General features: G+C 32.4%; 1 protein-coding gene across 4 annotated transcripts in view; it reads right to left on the bottom strand.

The window, feature by feature from the left end:
• ANKRD30A (ankyrin repeat domain 30A) overlaps positions 1–24018 on the bottom strand; it is a 140297-nt gene that overhangs the window by 21639 nt on the left and 94640 nt on the right. For 2 of the 4 annotated variants that reach the window (XR_007062015.1, XR_930524.4), the window contains exons 43-48: positions 12576–12795; positions 11689–11757; positions 6398–8461; positions 3240–3400; positions 2983–3085; positions 1409–1498 (exon numbers count right to left, since the gene is read on the bottom strand). Coding sequence is in view for 2 of the 4 variants with exons in the window: in XM_011519757.4 (XP_011518059.1) it covers positions 22800–22931 (132 nt within the window). In the remaining 2 variants the exon portion in view is untranslated. Of the gene's footprint in view, positions 1–1408; positions 1499–2982; positions 3086–3239; positions 3401–6397; positions 8462–11688; positions 11758–12575; positions 12796–21307; positions 22932–24018 lie in introns of those variants that run through there. The other 2 variants (NM_052997.3, XM_011519757.4) reach the window with 2 other exon arrangements.

Genomic DNA, 24018 nt, shown 5'->3' with positions numbered 1-24018 from the left:
GATGTAGGACAATTAATCCTTTTCAAACACTTCTAATTTAGATTAAATCACTGACCAGCATTAACAAAGAAACTCTATAATAATAGGGTTCCCTCCTGGCACCCAAAACTGCCAGGAGAAGCTCCTGCCATCTGCAAACCTGAACTGCAATAAGCAGGTTGGAAAAGGATCAAGTGAACGAATGGAAAGTACTGTAAAATAAAAATCTGTGAGAACTATGATAATCACACAAATGCTGTTGTTGACAATGATGCCATACAAAAGCACTCTGTGAGGCTGACATATTTGTGACTGTTTGTTTCTGAACTGCATAATGGTAAGTGGTGCTCCTTACAATCTGCAATCTACTGACGTTGATTGCTTGATGGAACCCACCACCACTACAACTGCCATCACTCGGTGGTTCGCCAGAAATTGAGAAAAAATATCTACTTATTTTTATTAACCTTTAAAAAATATATATAAAGCACACATTGATTTCAATGTTTACTGTTTGTTACAAGTGTTTTGGGTCCTTACTTAGAAGTTCAGTGATGTTTCTGTGACCAGAAATACATCATAGGAATGTCACTCTTATTTATGTCAGTTAGCCTATGGTAAAAGTGGTTTTATTATACGTCTTTCACTTAAGCTCAGTTCCAAGACCTATTGACCACGTTAAGTAAGGACTTACTACATACTAAGCATGAAAGGAGACAGGTTACTGTCAGAGACAGGAGTTACAAATGCAATTGACCCTCGAATGACATAGTGTGAACTGCATGGGTGCTCTTGTTAGCAGATATTTTTCAAGAAATATAAAAAAATTTGGACGCCGGGCACGGTAGCTCACGCCTGTAATCCCAGAACTTTGGGAGGCCGAGGCGGGCGGATCACGAGGTCAGGAGATCCAGACCATCCTGGCTAACACGGTGAAAACCCGTCTCTACTAAAAATACAAAAAAAAAAAAAAAAAAAGGTGGGCGTGGTGGCAGGCGCCTGTAGTCCCAGCTACTCGGGAGGCTGAGGCAGGAGAATGGCGTGAACCCAGGAGGCGGAGCTTGCAGTGAGCCGAGATCGTGCCACTGCACTCCAGCCTGGGCGACAGAGCGAGACTCCGTCTCAAAAAAAAAAAAAAAAAATTTGGAAATTAATGGCAATTTGAAAAAAACTGTAGATGAACCAAATAACCTAGAAATAGCAAACAAAAATATTTATACAATTACTAGTCTATTTTATCATTGCTACCATGAAATATACAAAATCAATTATAAAAAGTGAAAATTTATCAAAATGTGTGCATACAAAGAACACGATGCCAGCTTCAGCTAAGAGAAATGTAAACAAGCATAAAAATGCAGCATTAAATTGTAACTGCAAAAAGTTAACTTTAGTATGTATTGTACTGCTATAGTAAGTTTATGCCCACCTGGTACTGTTGCAGTGAGCTCAAGTGTTGGGTGTATCAGCTCAAAACACCATGTGATGCCAATCATCTCCACAGGAGCAATTTGTTTACCTAGAAAAATGTGTCATACAGTAAAAGGTGATTTCTCATGGTTCTTGCCTGTTTTCCATCATTTTTTTGTAATACCATGAACCTCGAAACATGTGAAGTGCCACTATTGACGCCATAAGTGCTCCAATGATGTAAAGTCATGACTTTTTTATATGAAAAAGCTGAACATTTCTCCAAAGAAAAAGCTTTGAAAAATATTAACAAGTCATAACCTATTAAACAGAATGAACCATGAATCCATACTGATACAAGTAAATGAATAACTTGAAGGTTTGAAGAGAAAGAGATATTTACATAGTCTCAAATGAACTCCCTACAAAATAGTAATTCATTAAAAAGTGAAAAAATAACATGACAGAGGAGATGTTCAGCAGATACCACCATTAGAAATAAAATCTAGCATCACCAGTAACAGACCAAATCAAAACTGTGGTCCAATGATAGGATGCAATAAGATCACAGGAGCATTTTGGTGATAGCCATGTTCAAAAAGTATGATATAAAACTAATTACAAGGAAACATTACAAAAACTCAATTGAAGAACATTCTGCATTACTAAACTTTATCTTCTAAAGATTCAACGTCATGAATATCAAGACTGAGAAACTGCTACAATTGAAAGTCTAAGAGATACAGAAGCTAAATATAACTGATGTCTCTGAATGGAATCTTTTGCAACAAGGAATATTATAGACAAGTAATAAAACTTACCAAGAATCTAAGAATTAAATCTTAGAATGTATTAATGTTAAATTTCTGTGAGATTATATTGTAGTCACGTAGAATGTCCTGACTTGTAGGAATACCCACTAAGGAAATCAGAAATCACGGTAGAGCGTCAGCAATTTACTCTCAAATGGTTCAGAGAAAGAAAGTTCTTTGTAGTAAAGCTTGAAACTTTTCTTTAATTTTAAGACTGTTTCCAAAAGCTAACCAAAAAATAAATAAGTAAGTAACATAAAAGGTGAAAAGTCTTAGGAAAACCTTATTTTTTCATGAGGAAAGATCCATATAAATCAGCACTTAAAATTACATAAATTTGATGGTATGGTGTCAATTGCATTACATGCAACCACTGACAATGACCACAGTACTAATATACCAAAATGATGTCAGTTGAAATCTAAATCTATCACTGTAATTGTAATAAAAATTACAGGATACAAAGCACTAATAACAACTTGGTAGTTTTGCTTGTTTAAATAGCTGCCTATTGAATCATTTGAGTATGTAAAACTCAATAATACAGGATTTTATTTGTAAGATCCACTAAAAAGTTTGTTAAAGAGGCTTAGAAACATGGTTTAAAATGCCATATAAATTTTCATCAGACATATATGATATAAAAATATTATCCTTTTTAAGAAAAAATTTTATATGTTTTATGTTAAATTAAAAAATCATTAAAAGCTCAAGTAAGCATTCCAGTAATAAAATATTACAATTTTTTATATTATATAATTTTAAAAATAAAAGTTAGTACCTTTTTTTTCTGATGCTTTACTAACTTCATCTTTTAGATTTAAATCATTAGTAGATCCTAGAGGAGCCAGTTTCAGAAAATATAGATTCTAGTTCAGCACCACCTGGAAAGAAAAATATTTATGTTCTTTACCTAAAAGATTTTATGTAAACTAAGTGGAAGTCAGGAAAAAAGAGTTGAGAACCTACTCTGTGTTAGTGAGAATAAAAAAATGTATATATAACTATGATACAAAATTGCTGTTAAATAAAACTCACCCGTAGTTGTGCATTGAAATAATTATCATTATGATTATGTATCAGAGCTTCTGGTTTTCTCATTCTTTATTCATTTATTCAACAACCACGTGACAAACACTGGAATTACAGGATGAAGATGAGATAATCCGCTCCTTGGCAGTGTTATACTATTATATAACCTGAAAAAACAAACAGGTAATTTTCACACAAAGTAATAGATATCATGACACATTTAAAATAGGGCACTACTGGAACACACAGATAGGACATCCAGGTTTTGGGTCAATATTGTAGACTTTTTGGTGGATGAGATATGCAGGTTGATACCAGAAGGACAACAAAAACATATGTCAGATAGAAGGGAGGAGCAAATGCCAAGAGCTGGAGCTGAGGAAGATCACTGTGAAATTCTATGTAGTCTAGTTGGCTGGATGCTAGAGCAAAGAGGTGGAGTACTAGTAAGTGGTAAGAAAAAGCTGAATAATTTGACAACAACCAAATTGACTTGGGCATTTTTATTGTATTCCAAGAAATGTAGAATATTTCCTGAAGACAAAAGTCAACCAATGACAAAGTCAAAGACTGGAGATTTAAAATGTCACCAGTCACGTGACTGCTTATGAACTATGACTGTTTGGCTATGCATTACAAGATGAGTCTTGGGTCTGTTGGCCTTAAATCACTACCATAACCTTGAGAAGAGAATGATGCCTTTGTTTTCTCAAAACAACTGCAGTGTGTAGGCTAAAAGTTCCACAGGGATGGCAGAGAGTTAGAGCCAAAAACAGATATGCCGACTACTTGAGACTTTTCTAAATATATGGAACATGACAAATTAATGAGGCATAAATATACTCTTAATTATGAGTATGTGTTTATATCTTTCATTAAATATGTGTACAAAAATAATTAGCATACTATCTATTAAACAAACAATAGCCAACTGATGTACTTATCAATTAATGAAACTGTAAATAGCCATTTCCTATTTACCGTTTATTTTAGAAACCAATTAATAAATCTGAATTGAATTAATAAATTTTGCAATGTACCTTTCTCCTGTTCTAGTGGTATTTTCTGCCACTCCTGCTGCATTTTAAATAAGTCAAATATTATCTATAATGTTTAATTTTAAGAAGAGAAACTATCCTGAAAATGATGTCTCACTTACAGAATTGTGCCCTTTAGTACTTTCAGAGACTATACCTAACATGAGAATTGCTTAAATAGAAAAACACAATCACATAAATAACCTAAAATTCTTACTTATTTTAGATTTAGATAATAGAGACTATACACGTGTAGTGCTGTTAAACCTGAGAAAAAATTACAAATAATATTGGTCTATGAGTTTTTCTCTTACTACTACAAAGGTTAGAGAATTTAATTCGTATTTTGCAATGAATGCATTTCTTTCTAATTCTTAGCAAAACTCTGTCCTTTATTAAAGTTCAGTTTTTTCACTTCAATAGGTTTTTCCTTAAATTAACTTTCCATTCTCCTCCTTCAGAAAATTTACATTTCAATGTATGTTCTATGTTATCAACTTTTCAGCACAGAACCTTAAATACACACACGAAGAAAGTGGTACTCACATAATATCATGAGAAAATTGGACTGGCAAGAGAATAAGTAAAAATATCATGTGATCTACATTATGATTGATATTTCTTTATATAAACACATAGATTTCAGAAAATTTGATTGAAAAAAGGATAAATATAGGTAGAACCAGTTTTCAATGTTAGCTTGATTCATAACTTTCTAGAATTAGAAAGAAGGAAAGTATCACGTAGCTGCATAGTTGTAACTTTGATGTCTTTTCAGAAATTAGTATCAGTTTTAAGAATTATTTAATTATAGTTTTCTACTTAATTATGAAATGTGTGGGATTATTTCAAGCTCCATTGCAAGTGTTTCCATCTGGAGTGTTCCTCTTTACATCTTTTGTATAAGAGGTATTCTCTCCCCGTATGCCAACAAGGTCTGAAATTGTGTACTGCACATACTGGACATTTTATTACCAATGATAATATGATACTTAAAGCCTTCACCATTTTCGGACAAACATGTTTTCCCATATTTGAGAGACTGTACTTCATAACACATCTGTGACTATAATGTTACAGACATGCCTGGTAAATTTAATAATGTGACAATACACATTACTAGAGAGGTCTTGTAAAGGAAATAACTCAATATCAGATAAAGGAAGGAGGCTTTACTGGAAGAATATTATATTACCTTTAATAAACACTATGAAAATATACATTTTCACGTGACTTCAACTAAAAAACTACTAAGGTAATGCTATTATCTTTTCCCCAAAAGCTCTTGTTCTAAATATTTAATTCCTACATGTAATAGATTACATTACTTCTTTATAGCCTGTTTATGAATATTTTTAGATAACACAAAAATTTGATTAGGTAAATATCAAACACGTTTCTCAACAGATAGTCTAATTTTGTACTGAAGAAATATGAACTCTGTAGAGAATACTTTCTTTTAACAAGTTTAAGTGACGCCATTTTTTACCCTCCTAACTCTCAAAAAATAAATGGTAGGAGAGATATACCTAATGCTAAATGCTGAGTTAATGGGTGCAGCACACCAACATGGCACATGTATACATATGTAACAAACCTGCACATTGTGCACATGTACCCTAAAACATAAAGTATAATAATAACAAAATTTAAAAAAATAAATAAATGGTAGAAGGAGCTGCCTCTCTTGCAGTGCTGAAGTGGCCTCTCCCTGCATAAATTATCTTCCAGCCTTTGACTGACCTTTGAACACTTTACCCCACAAAGAACTGCTGAGGGTAACTTCCTTTGAGAAAGTGATACCAGGTCAGATGTGAATGCTCAGAGAGAAAAGGGACAAATCCAAAACATGGGGAAGAAGCTTCTGTATGAGGGCATCCAGAAGCTTAGGGAAAGGGTCTTGGATATTGATGGCTCCACCTTTACTGTTATTATTATTATTGGCTGTAGAAAGAGTTGGGTAATTTTATGCATATTTTCAAGTATAAACTTTTCAATGTTACATGACTTTTTATAAGTCCCTTTCAATTTTGTTCTTTCTTTCCTATTAAATCCACACATTTTCTCATATTTCTTTTAATCAAAATTCAGAATTATTATTTCCATTCAAGAGACCACATACAGTACCTGGTACAAATTATGGAAGGCAAAAGGAGATAAAATTGTCTTCATGACATCAATCACTGTTCTATTCAGCAAGAAAAGGTTGTCATTGATGGCTTCGAGGTGTGTATAGCTTATGAGATATTAAACATTGCCAGAGCAAATACAAAAGGTTAATAAACTGCTAACCTAATTTTATGAATAACACTAAATCAAAAGTTATGTTAGCTCCTTATAGGGTAAAATATGTAAATACTACACTGACTTTTTTTTTCTTTTTAAATAGAAGGTGAGAAAATTATACATGGGAGAAAAAATGTATCCACAATTTTTAGGAAATTAGCAAGGCTCTCGCATAAACAATAGTTTTTAAACGATGTCCCATAGAAATCTAAGGTACTACAGAGGACATAGCAGTATTAAGGGATAATGAAGTCACAGCTTCAGAGCCTCCATCCTTTCTTTAGCAAGTTAGCTCTACTTGTATCTGTTCTGTTTTATATAATATGGTTGCATCTAACTGTTTTTAAAAAAAGTTCTGTTCTTCAAAAAAATTTTAAGCTATGAAAATCACTGATTAAGTCAAACCCTCATTTTACAAAAGAGGCAACACAAACTCAGAGCACTTATGCCTCACCATAGGTCACAAAGCCAAGTAGCTCCAGGCCAGAAATGGGCTTTAGGTCTTCCGTCTGAGACTGGCATTTGATGCCAGTGATTTCCTCCATATTTAGGAGAAATGTATAGATTTTAAAATATAACTCAGAGAAAATGCATGCATATGGTAAAACTGTCTTCTAGCTCAATCATGTTTAGGTGCAACAGGTTAAAAAATAGTTCTCCAGCTAAATTGTGAATCCTAAAATTAGAAATACAAAGTAAGCAATAGAAACTAATATCATAACATCAGTGAGTGGTAGTCAATATAATCTATTTGTAAAGAACAAGTTTGTTAAACTCCAGAAAAAGGAACTCGAAGGAGAAAAATGTTATCAAGCCAGGTGATATTGAGAAAATTCTTTTTTAGAAAAACTATTAATTTTCTCCAAATAGGACTTGGCTTACCAAAATCAATTAATAAATGAATTATCCATGTTCTGGGTTATTTTTAGCAAAATTGAAGACACAAAACATATTTCTCTTTGCCATCTAGCATACTTCTATCTAACCTCTTGTCATTAATTGGTACACACAAAGACAAACCTGAACTTAATTTCAAGGAAAACTTAAACCCATGCACAAATAATTGGTGAGCCTTCATTTCCCTGACTTCAAGTTTCCATGTGAGGACTCATGCTCTCTCCACTTTCTTCTTGGGAGGAGGGAAGATTTACCTAATGGGTAAATTTGGGCAAAGCACATTGAGTGTGCTTGTTTGGCTCTGAGTCTCTTTGCAAACATGTGTCTGCCCACAGTGACATGAGTTTGCGTTGACTGTCATGTCTGCAGGAAGCTGCCTGCTCCTGTGGCCATGTCAAGCAATTCTTTCTTTCAACTGCAACTGTGTGTAAGAGCTTAGTCTGAGAAGAAATGTTCAGAAGCTCACTGTGGCTGCACATCTGAGCCATGTCTTCCCATTAGTTGTCATGAGTCAGCAATAAAGCGGGTATGTTGATGTCTATCAATCTAATTCCTATGTTCTGAACTCAGGGAAAGAAATAGGAGAATCATTTGCAGCCTACCTCACCACAGCCCCACCAAGATGGCTACATAATACTTGTAAAAATGTTTCCTACTTCCTTGACTTTGTAACTTTATATTCTTCAACACAACCCCCATGTTAACAATAGGAAGGGCTGGAAGAAACTGAAATCAGGCCCGGCGCGGTGGCTCACGCCTGTAATCCCGGCACTTTGGGAGGCCGAGGCAGGCAGATCACGAGGTCAGGAGATCGAGACCATCCTGGCTAACACAGTGAAACCCCGTCTCTACTATAAATAAAAAACTTAGCTGTGCTTGGTGGCGGGCGCCTGTAGTCCCAGCTACTCGGGAGGCTGTGGCAGGAGAATGGCGTGAACCTGGGAGGCAGAGTTTGCAGTGAGCCGAGATTGCGCCACTGCACTCCAGCCTGAGTGACAGAGCGAGATTCTGCCTCAAAAAAAAAAAAAAAAAAAAAAGAGAATGAAATATAGTGAAATCAATCACAATAGTAAAGCCCAACAAATACAATATTCACTATTTCAACAACACAACAATAACTTAGTGACAGGCTACTGTTACATTATACTTGATATTATAAGTTTAAAATATTGCTGTATTGTCTTTTGTCTTTTTGAGACCAATTTGATAAATACATATACATCACACACATACTTTTCCATAATTAATATATTTTCAAGTAACCATGTTTTTAAAGTAAAATGTAATACCATTCTCTATTTTAAGGAGTACTCAAGTTTTATGACAGTAATCATGCACTCCCATGTAGCATAATCAAATAAGTTTGCACATTCAAACCACTGCAATTCAAGATAAAAATATCAATAGTTTAATGTCTGAAGGCAATTATACTTGGTGGTTTGTGAGTATTAAATACGTGCACTGTGTCACAGAGAAAGAAACTGGGCAACACTTAATTGACCAAAGAGCTGATAGATTAAGCATAGATCCACACATATATTTAAAGACCTTGTGGGGGAAAAATGAATAAAAGAAGAATTAGAAGAATTTGAGAAACTATCTGAAACAATTCTTAGGATAAAATGAGGAATTTGCATTTGGCTAAGTAGATAAAAAAGTGGAGACAGGAGAAATTATATAGAGCCTAAAACTGTTGTAGTAAGTTTCTCAAACTCTGTATTTGCCTTATGAATGATTGCCATAACTATTATTATAGTTTGATTAGAGTTAAAATTCAGGGTAGACAGGCGCTTCCTTGGTGATGCAAACAGGACTATTTTGTTTGGGAAAAACTGCAACTCAACACTGTGGAAAAAGCGCAGTTCAACATTCTGATATGACACAATGTTCCACCATGTGACACAAAGTTCCACCATGTGGCACAACTTTCCACCATGTGACACAATGTTCCACCATGTAAAAAGTTACAGTCTTAGGAATACGGTTTTAGCTTGGACATATCTATATAACTACATTTAGAAAAGAAGTTGCTAAACTGAATGAACATTTGAGAAATAGAAAAGTTACTTAAATAAATTATTAGAAAATTTTTGAGTCAGTAATGCACCAGAAGTCCAAAACCAATCAATGTAGAAATGAGTCTTCCTATCTCAAACATCTAATAATACTATGAGAGGTGGCACAGATTATCTAAAATAATACAATTTTTGGAGGGAGCATTACAAACAAGAAGACATTTAGACATCCATCTCAAACATTTAAAAAACATGTACCAAGTGACTACTGGGTGCCATGAATTGTCTTAGACACACAGGTACTATATAACTTTCAAACCTAAAAAAAAACTTTAAACCAGCTAAGTCTTATCTTTCATTAATGTGGAATAAATCTTTATGATTTCATTTATTACAAAAACATTCTGTATGCAAAAGGATCCAATGACTGATGTATTTTTGAAGCTAATTTTAATTTTTGAATTTTATAATATAATTTTTTAAAGAACCAATCAAATTATAAAATTCCTTCTCATATATAGAACAAAGCATCTCAGAATTCAAATAAAAAAACAAAGTAAAAGTTTGGAAAAAGTATACGTAGTTATCTATGATAGCTATAATAGTGTTAAGTGGTAAGGCTAAACTTCATGTGTTGGTGACAGGTGCAAGAACTGGCAAATGACATCAACATAGAGAACACTGGCTTTGACATCCAGCACAACTTCAATCACATGCAACAAAAATGATGTATTATAATCAGTTTCTTTATAGTTAAAAAAGCTGTATAAGATAGTCCTTCAAATTAACAATATTCCCAAATATTACAACCTTGCAAATAAAGAAGATAAATTCAGTATCAATGCTATTTTAACATATTTTATGTTAGATTAGATATTTTAACATTTTGCTTTCTAGAATTATAGCCAAAAATGTCTAAATGTCTTCTTGTTTGTAATGCTCCCTCCAAAAACCCACCTTTTGTATTATTTTAGATAATCTGTGCCACCTCTCAAAGTAGTATTAGATGTTTTTCTAGTAGAAATAATTAAATTTTAGCAACTCTAGTAGGCATCTTCTTTCTGTATCTCTAAGAATTTTGTAAACAATTACATAAAGAAGGTATGAAAACATGTCACTGAATCTTCATAGAATTATTAAGTCGAACATGATTTGGCAAACCAATTGTGCACAAAGAAACCCTGCACTCCTTGGAAGTACTAATGAAGTTTAAAATGAACTGTCTTTCAACATATCCGGAAATACTAAAAATAAATAGCACTTTGCCCGCTAAAAACTAAGAGAAAATATTTTCTCAAAAATCTTTGCCTGCACTGCATTTGTATTTATACATGTTTTCATTATCTTGTAAAATAATACATGAGCTGATTATTCTGGAAAAAAACAGATAAGAAAATTCATATGTGCATCATGACTAACACTTCACAGTAGTATTTAACATTCTTCCTCTTTTTGTACACAGAAGTGCAGTTTTATGACCCTGAAGCACTTAGACCCTGACCATATCACTCTTTTTCCAGAAAAATAAAACTAAGCTATCAAAATAATTAAAAACTCAGCTAGCTGGGATCATCAAATTTATGTATTAAAACAATCATTTAATTGTTCCCATTTGGCAGCAATGCTGTCTGAGAAAGCTTAGATTTGCTCCTCTAGAATTTTTTAGAATATGAAGCCAGGTAAAGAAAAAACATTTCATTTAACATAAGCATACACTATTTTTCTCTGCATTAAAGAGATTATGAAATCACCATCAAAACTATAAGCCAATGTGCATTGATTGAAATGGGTATTTTAGTGACAGTGATACACAGTGAAAACTATTTGCTACCTATTTATTTTAGTCCAAAAAATTCTGGGTTTTTAAATAATTTATTTTGTTTTTTTTTTTTTTTTAACAGGGGCTATGTTGCCCAGGCTGGAGGGCATTGGCTATTCATAGCTGTGATTATGATACACTACAGCCTTGAAATCTTGGGCTCAAGTGACTCTTTTGCCTACTCAGCCTCCTAAGTAGCTAGGATGACTGCATATAGTTTTAAAATTTTTACCCCAGACAAAAAATGGAATCTCTCTCTCTCTCTCTCTCTATTTATATATATATATATATATATATATATATATATATATATAAAACCAATGCTTCAATTTATACATCTTGTCATTGCTGGCATCATTTTGGGATCTCCAGAAATTGATTCTTACTATGAGTAAAATCACCTGGTTGGATTGAATGATGTCTGCTGCATCATCAGGGTAGATGGGAATCCTGTGCAGCTTTATGCAATTCTGGGTAGAAAGAAGATAATGGCTTATGTGTGGTTGTAGTTGCTATTAAAAGACTCAATATCATCGCCGTATTAGTCATCAATAATTCAAGTGATAGACATACATAAGTGAACATCATTTTAAAAATTCAAAGAGTTGATTTAGCTATTTTCAAGCTATTGTAAAATTGCACAGCAATAATAGACACTTTACAAAAACTGAGGGAAAAAGTGATGTAGGTATAGTGGCAATTAAAGATCCAGTCTTGTGTTAAAAAAAAAACAAGACTTTTAGCTTTAAAACAAAACAAAAATGAATCATTTAAGTGTTCCATGTTTATTTACTTCATAAATGTATTTATTTTAGATTACTTTAAATAATGAACATCTACATGTGATTAAGTGTTTGGATGTCAAACATTCACTTCTGATTAGGGGTGCAAAACTTGAGATGGTACAGGAAAACATTAGAAGTGTTATGAAGCACAGCCAAACTCAAACCAATCAGAAAATAAGCCAAAACATCTCAAAGTATATATTTAGTTACTAGGAAATAATATTCCCTTTCTAAAATGTAACTTAAATGCAGTTTTTAAAGCAATTCAAAATGTGTTATTTTAAGTTTATTGAATGAAGTTAACAAATGGGTATTTCATGAAAATGAGAGCTCCAGGGACTTTTAGAAAATTGTAAAATTTCTGTTTTCTTTCTTTGTTAACGCAGGTAATGTTGACCATTATTTAACACACGTGAGTCAATTAACTCAGTATTTCACCTACTTAAAAACAAGAATTGCATCAGAAATCTGAAAAACAAAGGAAGACAGATAATATAACTAACCGTGAACAAGTAATTCTTCACACTGTTATTTTATGTCTGTAGGCTTCAGGAAGAAATCATGAATTTTTCTTCTAAAATAAGTATTCTGTTGACACAGACTATTGGTAAGATTTTCAACATAAGGTGATGCTAGGACTGGCCTCCTAGCATGAGTTGTGAGTAAAGATCTGGTCTGTTGTTTCTCCAAAAGAAGTTTCTTACTGCTTGTCTCTCATGAGTTCTGTGAAGATTGCAAAAGGAAAATGCTTAGTATTTTATTTTTTCCTACATAATTAGAAAAGGACTTGTATTTAAAAAGAAAACCCTTCTATAAGAATAAATAACATTTCCCATTAAGCCGTGCTTTAACAATGAAGATGTGTGAGAGCATGCCTAGTGTATGCAATTATAGGTTTTAAATTGTTCTTAAAAAGTACAAATATTTTTAGGAGGATTTCTAACAAAAAGTTTTTTTTTTGCCGCCATGACTATTTCACTATGTAGAAATATATCAAAACATCATGTTGTATTTCTTGAATATGTGCAATTAAAAAACTAAAATTAAAAAAGCTATAAATATGTGTTTATTAAACCAGTTTAAAGATTTTTAAATATTATCCCTCAAAGATATTTTCAGGCATTTAACATTTCTTGTACATTTTCACTCATTATTTGGGATCCATTAAGCATTTGACACTGAGAAGTAATTCAGACAAACAACTCCTAGGGGAGACAAAGATAGCTGAGTGAGAGATCAAAAAGAACTAAAGCAGCTTCAAAGACAATTAGCTACTAACATTGTGACCAAGGCATCGGAGGTGGGGCCTGTGCCTTCTGTCTTCCACACAAACCTTCAGGCTAACCAAGGTGTTATTTTTAACCATTTTGTGAATTGTACATCCCTTAATCTCTGTATTATTAATTCCCCATTTCACAAGGATGCTTTTATAAAGAATGAAAAAAACTATACAGGGTGTTTTCTCAGGGTGCTGTCTAATGATAATACCCAAGACCACTATCAAAGAAAGTTAATTTACCAAGTGTCAGAAAGTGAAATGTAGTAGTAATTGTACATGACCATTTTGGTCTCAATTTTAATCCTCTAAACAATAGTTAAACTTATTAGTATTTCTATTTGGGGACATGCTGAAAAGCCATTTAATGACAATACTACTGTCAAATTAAATGCTTCAAAAATACTTAGCTGAAAGGCTAACAGATCAGGTTGACTAGTGTGAATCTGAAGGGGAAAAAAGCCATATAAAACCAACAAATGCGGAAGAGACATAAACTCTCCTGGACAAACACTTTGAAGGTCAGTTCATTTACTAACATCATGTTTCCATAATTATATTATCTAGTTAACTTCCACTTCCCACTGATGTTGTGAACCTGTCTCACTAAAAATTAAACTTTTGAGGCAAATTAATGAGCTTAATTTACTTTCTATAATTATATTTTGACTGACTTGTTTAGTTCATTTGACAACAAATCCCTAAATTTTAATTCCTCTAAATAGAGGTGTTTATATTTTTCTGATTCTGTTTTATTAAAGTCTTCTACAGTTTTCATTTTGGAGAGTTCAGATTGCAGATCTTTAACTATCACCTCCATCTTATTTATTGAAACAATATCATGCTCTCTTAAGTGCTATAGGTTTTCTTGAGTTTCTGCTTGTGTCTAAACAAATTAAAAGTACAGTAACAAACAATTTAATTGTACATTTAAAAATAACTAAAAGAGTAAAATGAATTTGTTTGTAACACATTGGATAAAAGCTTGAGGTGACGAATACCCCATTTACCCTAATGTGATTATTATGCATCTGATGCCTGTATTAAAATATCTCATGTAACCCATACATACATATATGGATATATATATACACACCCTACTGTGTACCCACAAAAATTAAAATTAAAAAGAAAACAAATCAAAAGGGTACATTTTAAGGTAATTATAAGCTGCATAATTATTGTATATTTGTTTCCTTATAAGTCAGTGATTCAGAAAGCAATTTTAAATACGTGAAAAAGAAGCTGAAGCTTGAAATACTTATCAGCAATGTTTACTAAATTGATAATAGCTAATAACTAGATAGGAGGATGAGTTCTGGTGTTCTGTGGCATTGTAGAGTGAATACAGTTAACTATAATTTATGATATGCTTCCAAAACCTAGAAGAGAGGATTGGAAATGTTCCCAACAGAAATAAATAATAAATGTTTGAGGTGTTGAATATATTAGTTATCTTGATTTGAGCATTACACATTGCATACATATATAGAGGAGATATCATTGTTACTCTACATCCCATAAACGTGTATGTACATGTCAACTAAAAATATAAAACAATTCATCTCATTAAAAAAATAATAACATGGGCCAAACTTAGTGACTTACTGCTAATGAATAGAATGTGGCCTGACCATCCTCACTCAAAACAGGAGAAGGGGGTACCAAGGGCAAGCAGTTTGAGATAGAGAGCCTTTTCTAAACTAATGTTGCAAATCTCACGGTATACCTCTTACCATATTCCATTTTTTTCAAAGCAAGTGCCATTTATGAATGCCTAGAAGCTCCAATGTAGGTGATCTGGCTGCCTGCCACAGCCAACATTCTAGGCAATGGCCAGCATTAACAACAAGACATATAGCTGAGCAAACCTTCAGATTACTGTAGTTTCCCAGTCTTTGAGCTGTCCCCAGGCAAGTTAAGAGGAACAGTGACAAGCTGTCCTGGCCGAGCTTTTCCCAAATGGCAGATTAATTAGTAAAACAAATGTTGTTGTTTTAACCCACTAAATTGTGGGCAATTGTTAGGAAACAATAAAAAGAAAATTTGATTTAAAAAATGACAATAGAAAACTTACACAGTAGAAATTAGTCACCTTTAAAGTACAATCTAATAGAGGTTGATATTAATTTATTCATGACAAACAATGCTAATGAGAAGCAGTAGAAAAGTAGCAGACAGACATAAGAGCTACTGAGGAGAAAGATTTCCTAAAATTCCTTTTAATTAAAAATTCTTATTACTAGGCAAGTGTGCTTCTTTAGGATTTCCCCTCAAGTTAGGAAATCAGTAAGACAGGGAAGCAAAGAGGCAAGTTGTGAAGCGCAACAGCTGGAAAATTAAAAATATTTGGTTTAACAATCAAAATCAGATGTTATCTGATTTCATAGAAGTAAAATCTTCAGAAAGCTAAGCAGTATTGAGTATTTATTAATCAATCTGGCATTCACTATTCATTTTCCTTTCTTCAATGAGAAAATAAAGAGAACATTGTAGAATCATTTTTAATCATCTCAGAAGTAAAATAAATGTAGTGGGTTTGAATGTTAATAAATTAAATACAATTTCTCCTTCACTGTACTTCAAGTTTGTCTATATGAAGAAGTTAACCATTTAATCTTTATGTTGTACCACAATGCTTCTTCATATCATACAACAAAATTAGCTTTGATATTTTGAAATTCAAACAACTAATTTCACTATTATTTGTCTCTTATAAATTGCCTAAACATAACCTGATTTTTTAGTGCTGCACTTCTGAAACTTTTTCTTTGAATAGCATAAAATATTTATTCCAAAAAATATGTATGAAGCTATAAAATATAGCTGTGCATCTTGACCTATTTAAGCAGAGGGAAGTAATTACAGAGAATGGTGACTTCTGGGAATGCAGGAACTGTACCAAGAAAAGATCATCCCAGGTGTTATACACAAGAATCAGGTGCCAGGTCAAAAGAGGATCTACCTGTGAACTGCAAGATGATGAATTAGCTCCATTTCCAATAAGAAAAGCTTACAGTCTGGACTGACTCTTCTCTTCCCAGGATGGATAACATCTACAGATGATTGTACAAATTACAATGAGTTAATAGAACCTAATGCATGAAATAGTAGACTGTCAGATGATGTGACCAAGATTTGATAGAAATGGGACTCAAGAGAGAGGCAGTCAATGAGAGACTAAAGGTTTGAATAGAGAAACAAAGGAATGGACTCTTGTCTTTGTAAGCTTGACTTCCCATCAAGTCATGGAGTCAGCAGTGCATAAGCTGGCCATGGGCTCTTTCAAGAAACAAAAAGTAAAGATGTTTCTCTATACTGAACTTTTATCATGTATGATAATATATAACTGGTAATATGCAACATGATTGAAAAAGAGTTCTCATATAAGTTGATTTGGTACTGGCATAAGAATAGAGAGATCAATGTTTTAGAATTTAGAATCCAAAAACAGACCTGCACATGTATGGTCAATTGATTTTCAGCAAGGATAACAAAATGACTACATGGGAAAAGAATAGTATTTTCAACCAATGGTTCTGGGACAAATGGATATCCATATGCAAAAGAAAAAAGTTGGAGTCCCACCAAATACTGTATTTAAAAATTATCTCAAAATAAAATAGCTAAATTTAAGAGCTAAAACTATAAGTTTCTTCAAAGAAAAGACAGGAATAAATCTTTGTGACTACATTTGGCAGTGGCTTCTTAGATATAACAACTCAAAATATGGATTAACATTAGAATTTAAAACTGCTATGCTTGAAAATATACTAACAGTAAAGTAAAAAGGCAAGCACTGAGTAGGAGAAAATATTTGATAACTGTATTTCTGATAGAAAATTTATATTTAGGATATATAAAGAACACTTACCATTCAGAAAGAAACAAGATGGCCCAATTAGAAAATGGGCAAAGGATGGAAAGAGACATTTCTCCAAAGAAGATATACACATGGCTAAGATGCATGTTTTAATTAAAACATCCTTAAAATTATCAGTCATTAGGGAATGCAAATAAAACCACAGAGGGGTGCCACTTCCCACCACTAGGATGGAATCTTTCCTGGTAAAAATGTGGAGAAATTAGAACCCTCATACTGCTAATGAAAAATGGTATAGCTGCTTTGGAAAATGTACTGGCATTTCCTCCAAAAGTTAAACATAGACTACCATATGACTCAGCAATTCCACTCATAAGTATACACCCAAGAGACATGAAAACATATGCAAACACAAAAACTTATACCTAAAAGTTCATAGCAGCACTATTAATATTAGCCCAAAATGGAAACAACCTAAAGATCTATCAACTGATGAGTGGGTAAATAAAATGTTTGATGTATCTAGACAATGAAATATACTCAGCAGTAAGAAGAAATTAAGTGCTGATACTTGCTGCAACAGAGGACCTTGAAAATGTTATGCTATAGCATCTGCATGTGAGATGGGTTTCCACACTGATGGGTCTTGACTCTTTATCCAATTTGCCATGGATGAAGCTGGAAACCATCATTCTCAGCAAACTATTGCAAGGACAAAAAACCAAACGCCGCATGTTCTCACTCATAGGTGGGAACTGAACAATGAGAACACTTGGATACACAGGAAGGGGAACATCACACACCGGGGCCTGTTGTGGGGTGGGGGGAGGGGGGAGGGATAGCATTAGGAGATATACCTAATGTAAATGACGAGTTAATGGGTGCAGCACACCAACATGGCACATGTATACATATGTAACAAACCTGCATGTTGTGCACATGTACCCTAGAACTTAAAGTAAAATTATATATATATATATAAATAAAAAGAAAATGTTATGCTAAGTGAAAGAATCCAGTCACAAAAGGCCATGTACTGTGATTTGAACAAGATAAAGCTTCCAGAACAGACAAATATATACAAACACAGTAGATCGGTGGTTCCCTAGAACTGAGCAAGGAATGGGAAACTGGTAGGTGACAAAGAATGCCGAATTTTTTTTTAGACTGATAAAAATATTCTAGAATAGATTGTGGTGACGATTGTATAATTCTGTGAAAATACTAAAAGCTACTGCAAAGAGTGAATTGCATGGCATGTTAATTATATCTCACTAAAATTGTTACCGAGAAAATCAATTTGATACTAGTGACTTGAAGTCATCATAGGATGGCGTACTGCTTGCTTTTGTATCATTGGCCAGTGTTCAAGACATGGAATGAGCAGTATGCCCGCCTTATAGAAAAAGAACATATTAAAAATGTATTCTTTCCATTAGAATCAAGCCCAAAAAAATTTTTTTAAAAATCTCTTTCACTGCTCAAAGCACTGACAGATTTTTACTTCCCCAAAGTATGTGGGTAGTTCTTTTGGTCCTCAAACTAGTTAAAAAGTACTTCATGTGTTAGCTTATTCATCTAAATATCCATTTCAAGTAGACTGGTTTTAAAATCTCCATGGAAATTTAGCTTTCCATTTTAACATTCCTTTAACTTCTTTTCTGTAATTTCTAAAAGCTTCTTATATCTGCAGGAATGTACACAATGACTAAGTCAAAATGTTTCAGACTAATATTTAATAATTTCTTAAACAAACATGTTCTAACCTACAAAGAAACAAGTCAATAAATTATGACCCTCTCTCATTGGTTTCGACGTAACATAGTTTGAAAACATTCTAACAAAATTTAACTTTATGTAAGTAATATGAAGAAAAATGTACAGCATATATGACAGATAAAGGATTGATATTATAACCATATATATAGTTTTTATATATAAACTATTAATATTTATTTTAGTATTTCATTGGGGGAGAAGTAATCATGGTTTTTGAACCATGATTACTTTTGCATCAACCTAATATGTTAATATAAAACACTAGCGTATTATTAAATACGAATTTTTACTCAGAGATCAGCATCAAAGGGGAAAAGCATATTTATATATGAATGTTTGCAAAAGACACAATACATTTTTTATACCTTTTGACCACAGTCTGTAGAAGAAAAGAACACACACACATAAATTATCACAAAGATTATTCAAAGTAGAAAAATAGAAAGAAAACATTCTGAGTTGAGGAGGGAAAAGGAAACAGGCAGTTTTAGAAGAAAAGAAATGAAAAGAGAGATCATGTGAAGACTTCACGACTGTTGTAGGAAGAGATCTAAAGATCTTTGCTAGCACAGTGCTAACAAAGTGAAAGGCATCCAAAACCATGCAGAGAAAGATAATGAGAGAAAAATATTAATTGGAATCAGAGAACAAATTAAAGTTCTCAGCAAATTGAAAAGCAGCCGTCTTGGGGGCTTCAAAGGCACTGAGGAAAGTTCTATTTTTAATCTGAGTGGCAAAAACACAATTACTCATTTACTCTTTTTTAGGTCATACATATTTTTTATTATAACATATATATGTATATACATATAATATATGTGTATATATACACGTGTGTGTGTGTGTATCAAAAACAACAGAAGTTTAGTGATATATATATGTAGCTCACATATGCATGGGAGATACCAGTAGAAAATAAGTAAATATCCATAATATATTTTAAAACTAAAAAAAATCAAAGAGACTAAAAGAAACGTTAATCAAGATAATTTTTGATGATGTTTAAAAATAACAAAGACATATTTTTAGATATTAAAGAATAGCAGATATGCATACTACCAAGAAGAAGATTACCAAATACAAACAAAAATATCTTCAGAAATAAAAATTCAAAGTAGATAATGAAAAGAGCAGTTGACATTATATGCCAAAGGCATTGTCATTATTGTTTTCAAAATCATTAAAGAATAAGTGTGATATTTAGGTATTCAAAAAAAGTTTCAGTTTGTGCTGTGACTCTGAAAAAACATTAAAATAGAATAATTTGTTTAATTATCAAAATGCAGATATAGGTCAAACTTGTATCTCAGTTTTAATAAATATATTGAAATTATAGTTAATATTTTTAAAGTTCTAAAATATTGAAATATTACCCAGTTATTTCTTTTCCTAATTCATTTTTTCTTTATTTCTTGATCCAAATTATCCTCCAGAGATTGCATTAAGTCAATACATATGTTTAATTTCTCTTTTCTATCTTCAGTCTTTTAAAGAAATTTAATTATTATTAAAAATCTAGAGATACTCTTCTTTCCTAAAAATATTATTTCTCTTGAGTTCATGAGTTATATATGTGTAAAGCCGTTTTATAACATGCAGTTTATACACTTTATTCCAATAATGACAGATTGAAACATAATTTTTTAAAAAACAACCCAAAATGATTTATACTTTCATTAGTATCATTTGTGGAATTTAAACTTCCAAAATTTATTTGGTAAAAAAGTTTTTATGCATAAAATACTAAATGCTAACAATAAGTGAAAAAATAATTAGTTATATTTACATTTTGGTTTCCAAAGATGCCCTCAAAGCATTGTCATCAATAGTTCACAATATTCCAGGTTTGTTCATTCAGATCTAAGTAAGATAATTTTTTGAAAGCTCTCATTTGTTCCCCATAACATTTCTGATTCTCACCTAACTTCAGGATAAGGTAACTACGCTCATTCTCTGTAAGCATTCTTTTATAGTTTTTTTTTCTTTTTCTTTTTCTATTAACCATTTTTCTTTAGATAAAGTGTATGTGTTTTCTATGTTTCTCATTCTCAATATTCTCAACTTATAATGGGTTTATCAAGACGTAATGCCACTGTAAACTGAGGAGACCCAGTACCGTGGGTTGAAAATCCCTATTCTAAAATCTGAAGCTTCAAAATTTGAAACTTTTAAAATGCAGACATAATTTTTCTCAATAGTCAGAACAAATATGAGTATTGACTAGAACAATTGTCCTCTATTAGAGTGGTTTCTGTTTTATATTTATTGATTAAGATATATTTCAAATAAAACTTTATTATGTCAATGTCTGAAAAAATAAATTATCAGTATAATATATTTAATTGTAACAACTGGTAAGATAGAATATTTTCAATTTACACAATAACAGGTAGCATGTATGTCAGATATTATCCCCTGCTTAGGCAAATTTATAATAAGACATGATTATGTCTCATGAAAAAATAAAGCAATGTACAATTGAAAGTTAAATTGTTCTGCACCAACTAGAAAACACATCCTGAAGCATAAGGTCAATGAGAGTCAGAACAGTCAGAGAAAGCTTTATGAAAATGGAAAATGTGTCCACCAAGTCTGAATGAATGAGGATAGATGAACAAAAACTGAAAATGGAGGAACAGCATGAGGAAGGCAGAGAGATATGGAAATCGGCCCAATTAACTAAATATAAAATCCAGTGGCAGAGAAATAAAAATATAGGCCCACACAATAACTTGTAAGTGAATGCTTACAGCAGCGTTATTCATAATGGCCACAAGCAGAAGCAACCTAAACATCTATCAACTGATGAATGAATAGCTGCTGTAGCCATGCAATAGAATATTATTTGACAATAAATAGAAATGAAGTACTGATATGTACTACAAAATAGATGAAACTTAAAAACACTATGCTAAGTAAGAGAAGCCACTCATTAAACACCACAAATTGTATGACTCCATTTCTATGAAATGTTCAGAACAGGCAAATCTATAAAGACAAAAACTAGACGATGGTTGCCTAGGACTGGGGAAGGTGAAGAAACATGGAGGTGGGCGGTGGTGATGACTAAGAGATGTGAAGTTTCTCTTTAGGGTGATGAAAATGTTCTGAAAATGACTGTGGTGATGGTTATACAACTTTGTGAATATATTAAGAGATGCTGAGTTGTACAATTTAAATGTGTGAACTATATGATATGTGAATTTTATCCCAATAAAGTTCCTTTTTAAACATCCAATGGCAGTATCAAGATAATTTCCTCTATTTTCTATTTTGAATGTTTGAATGCATACTATACATGATCTAAATGTTTATGTTTATACAATATAATTAAAAACAAAAAATAAAAGAATTGCCTAGCTATTCTAATACTGTGTATATTAACCTAAACATCTCCATTTTGGAGAACAGTATAATGTCCTTGGCATCCACTCACAAAAGTGGAGCTAAGAAATAAGATAATTTTCTGGAATATTCCATTATACATTCTTCTCTGATTAAATATGGCTTGCCTCGCCATGGTAACATAAATCACTGAAAAACACTGTTTATCTGAAGAATAGTCTCCCAACCTGTGGGCTAAACAATGTATAATTCTTAATCTTCTTAAGGGTAAATATTATGAGAAAAATATGTAATTATAAGAAAAACATTACAGAATGACAGCCACAGTTTTAAAAATAAGCACATTTTAAAGATAATAAAATTGTAACAAAACTAACTATAATGACATATAAAAGAAGTCTTCCCATGGAAGTTAGTATCATAAAACAATTTATATTATTTAACCAGCTATAGATTCACTGTTGGCATGTTACATTTAATGCATACTTGACTTTTGATTTGAAATCATTTCTTCATTAAATCCTGTATCTCATCTTTGAGATTAATGTGATAATGTGATGTAACCTCTAGTGAAGCCTCAGACACACACTGTTTATTGAGATCAGCCAAGTTTTTTTGAAGTTGTCTCACAATGACCTGACAAGACATGTTTGTTATTGATTTTGTAAATCATCTTATCAAATTAACAATATTTACTTTCAAAAATATCCCCAAATATATTGATTCAGCTTATTTTCTTCATTTGTACCCATTGCTGCTTATTACTGAATCCACTTAAGGAGACAAGAAGATGTTATCTTCCTGCCAAACTGGTACTCTCTTACTAGACACCAGATTCATCCCACTAGTCATTTGTCCGCTAATGAATCTGTAATGCTTCACAACCTACTGAAGTCTCAAAAAAAAAAAAAAAAAATGTGGGAAGGACTAATGGTGGTAAATTCTACACAGTGGAATGCTTTCTCCTTCTTCTGTATTAGAAGCACAAATCAACATCAAAGTTCCTCACATATTCAATCACATGCTGAAATTTTTCCAATAGATTTCTATCTCAGAATAAAAGTATTTTTATTTCAAAGGCTTTAGAGGCCTTAGGTAACCTGGTCTCTGCATCCCTCCTGACCTCAGCTGCTGTGTTTCTCTTCTCTACTCACTTCTTTTGTACTATACATGAACCCTGCCACCCCTCATGAATTGTAAAATGGGGACCCAATGCAAAGCTAATAAATCACAGAGAGCTACAATGATCTTTCTCTGGGACATGATAATCTTTGAGCCTTCAAATAGAAATTATGAGCAAATTATTTGTAACAATATTCAAAATAAATTATAAATACCAGTGGGGTGATTAAATCAAATTTGATATTGCTAAAATTCACTACATTTGTCCTAAGGTATTATTTAATAAAACACAGATGCCTTTAAAAAATTGAGGTTATAACAATACATAATTTGAGATTCAAATATGTTCAGATTTAAGTCAAATTGACATAAATGAAAATAAAATTCTATCAACTAAAATACATAAAAAGCTACTGAAAAAAAGTATTATTACAAGACGCAGAAATGTATACTTCAAATACACTTCAGTTCCTCTGGAAAATTTAGAATTAACTGTCAAAGTAAATTGCTAAATTGAATCTTAATTTCAAAATACTAATTGCTGATACGGGCATTCCCATTCATCTGCTTCATTGTGGTCATAAAATGTGGCCACAAAGAG

This window comes from Homo sapiens, chromosome 10, assembly GCF_000001405.40.
Source record: "Homo sapiens chromosome 10, GRCh38.p14 Primary Assembly".
Taxonomy (NCBI): domain Eukaryota; kingdom Metazoa; phylum Chordata; class Mammalia; order Primates; family Hominidae; genus Homo; species Homo sapiens.
Note: the sequence above shows the minus strand (reverse complement) of the source record. Positions and strands in the feature narration are given on the sequence as shown.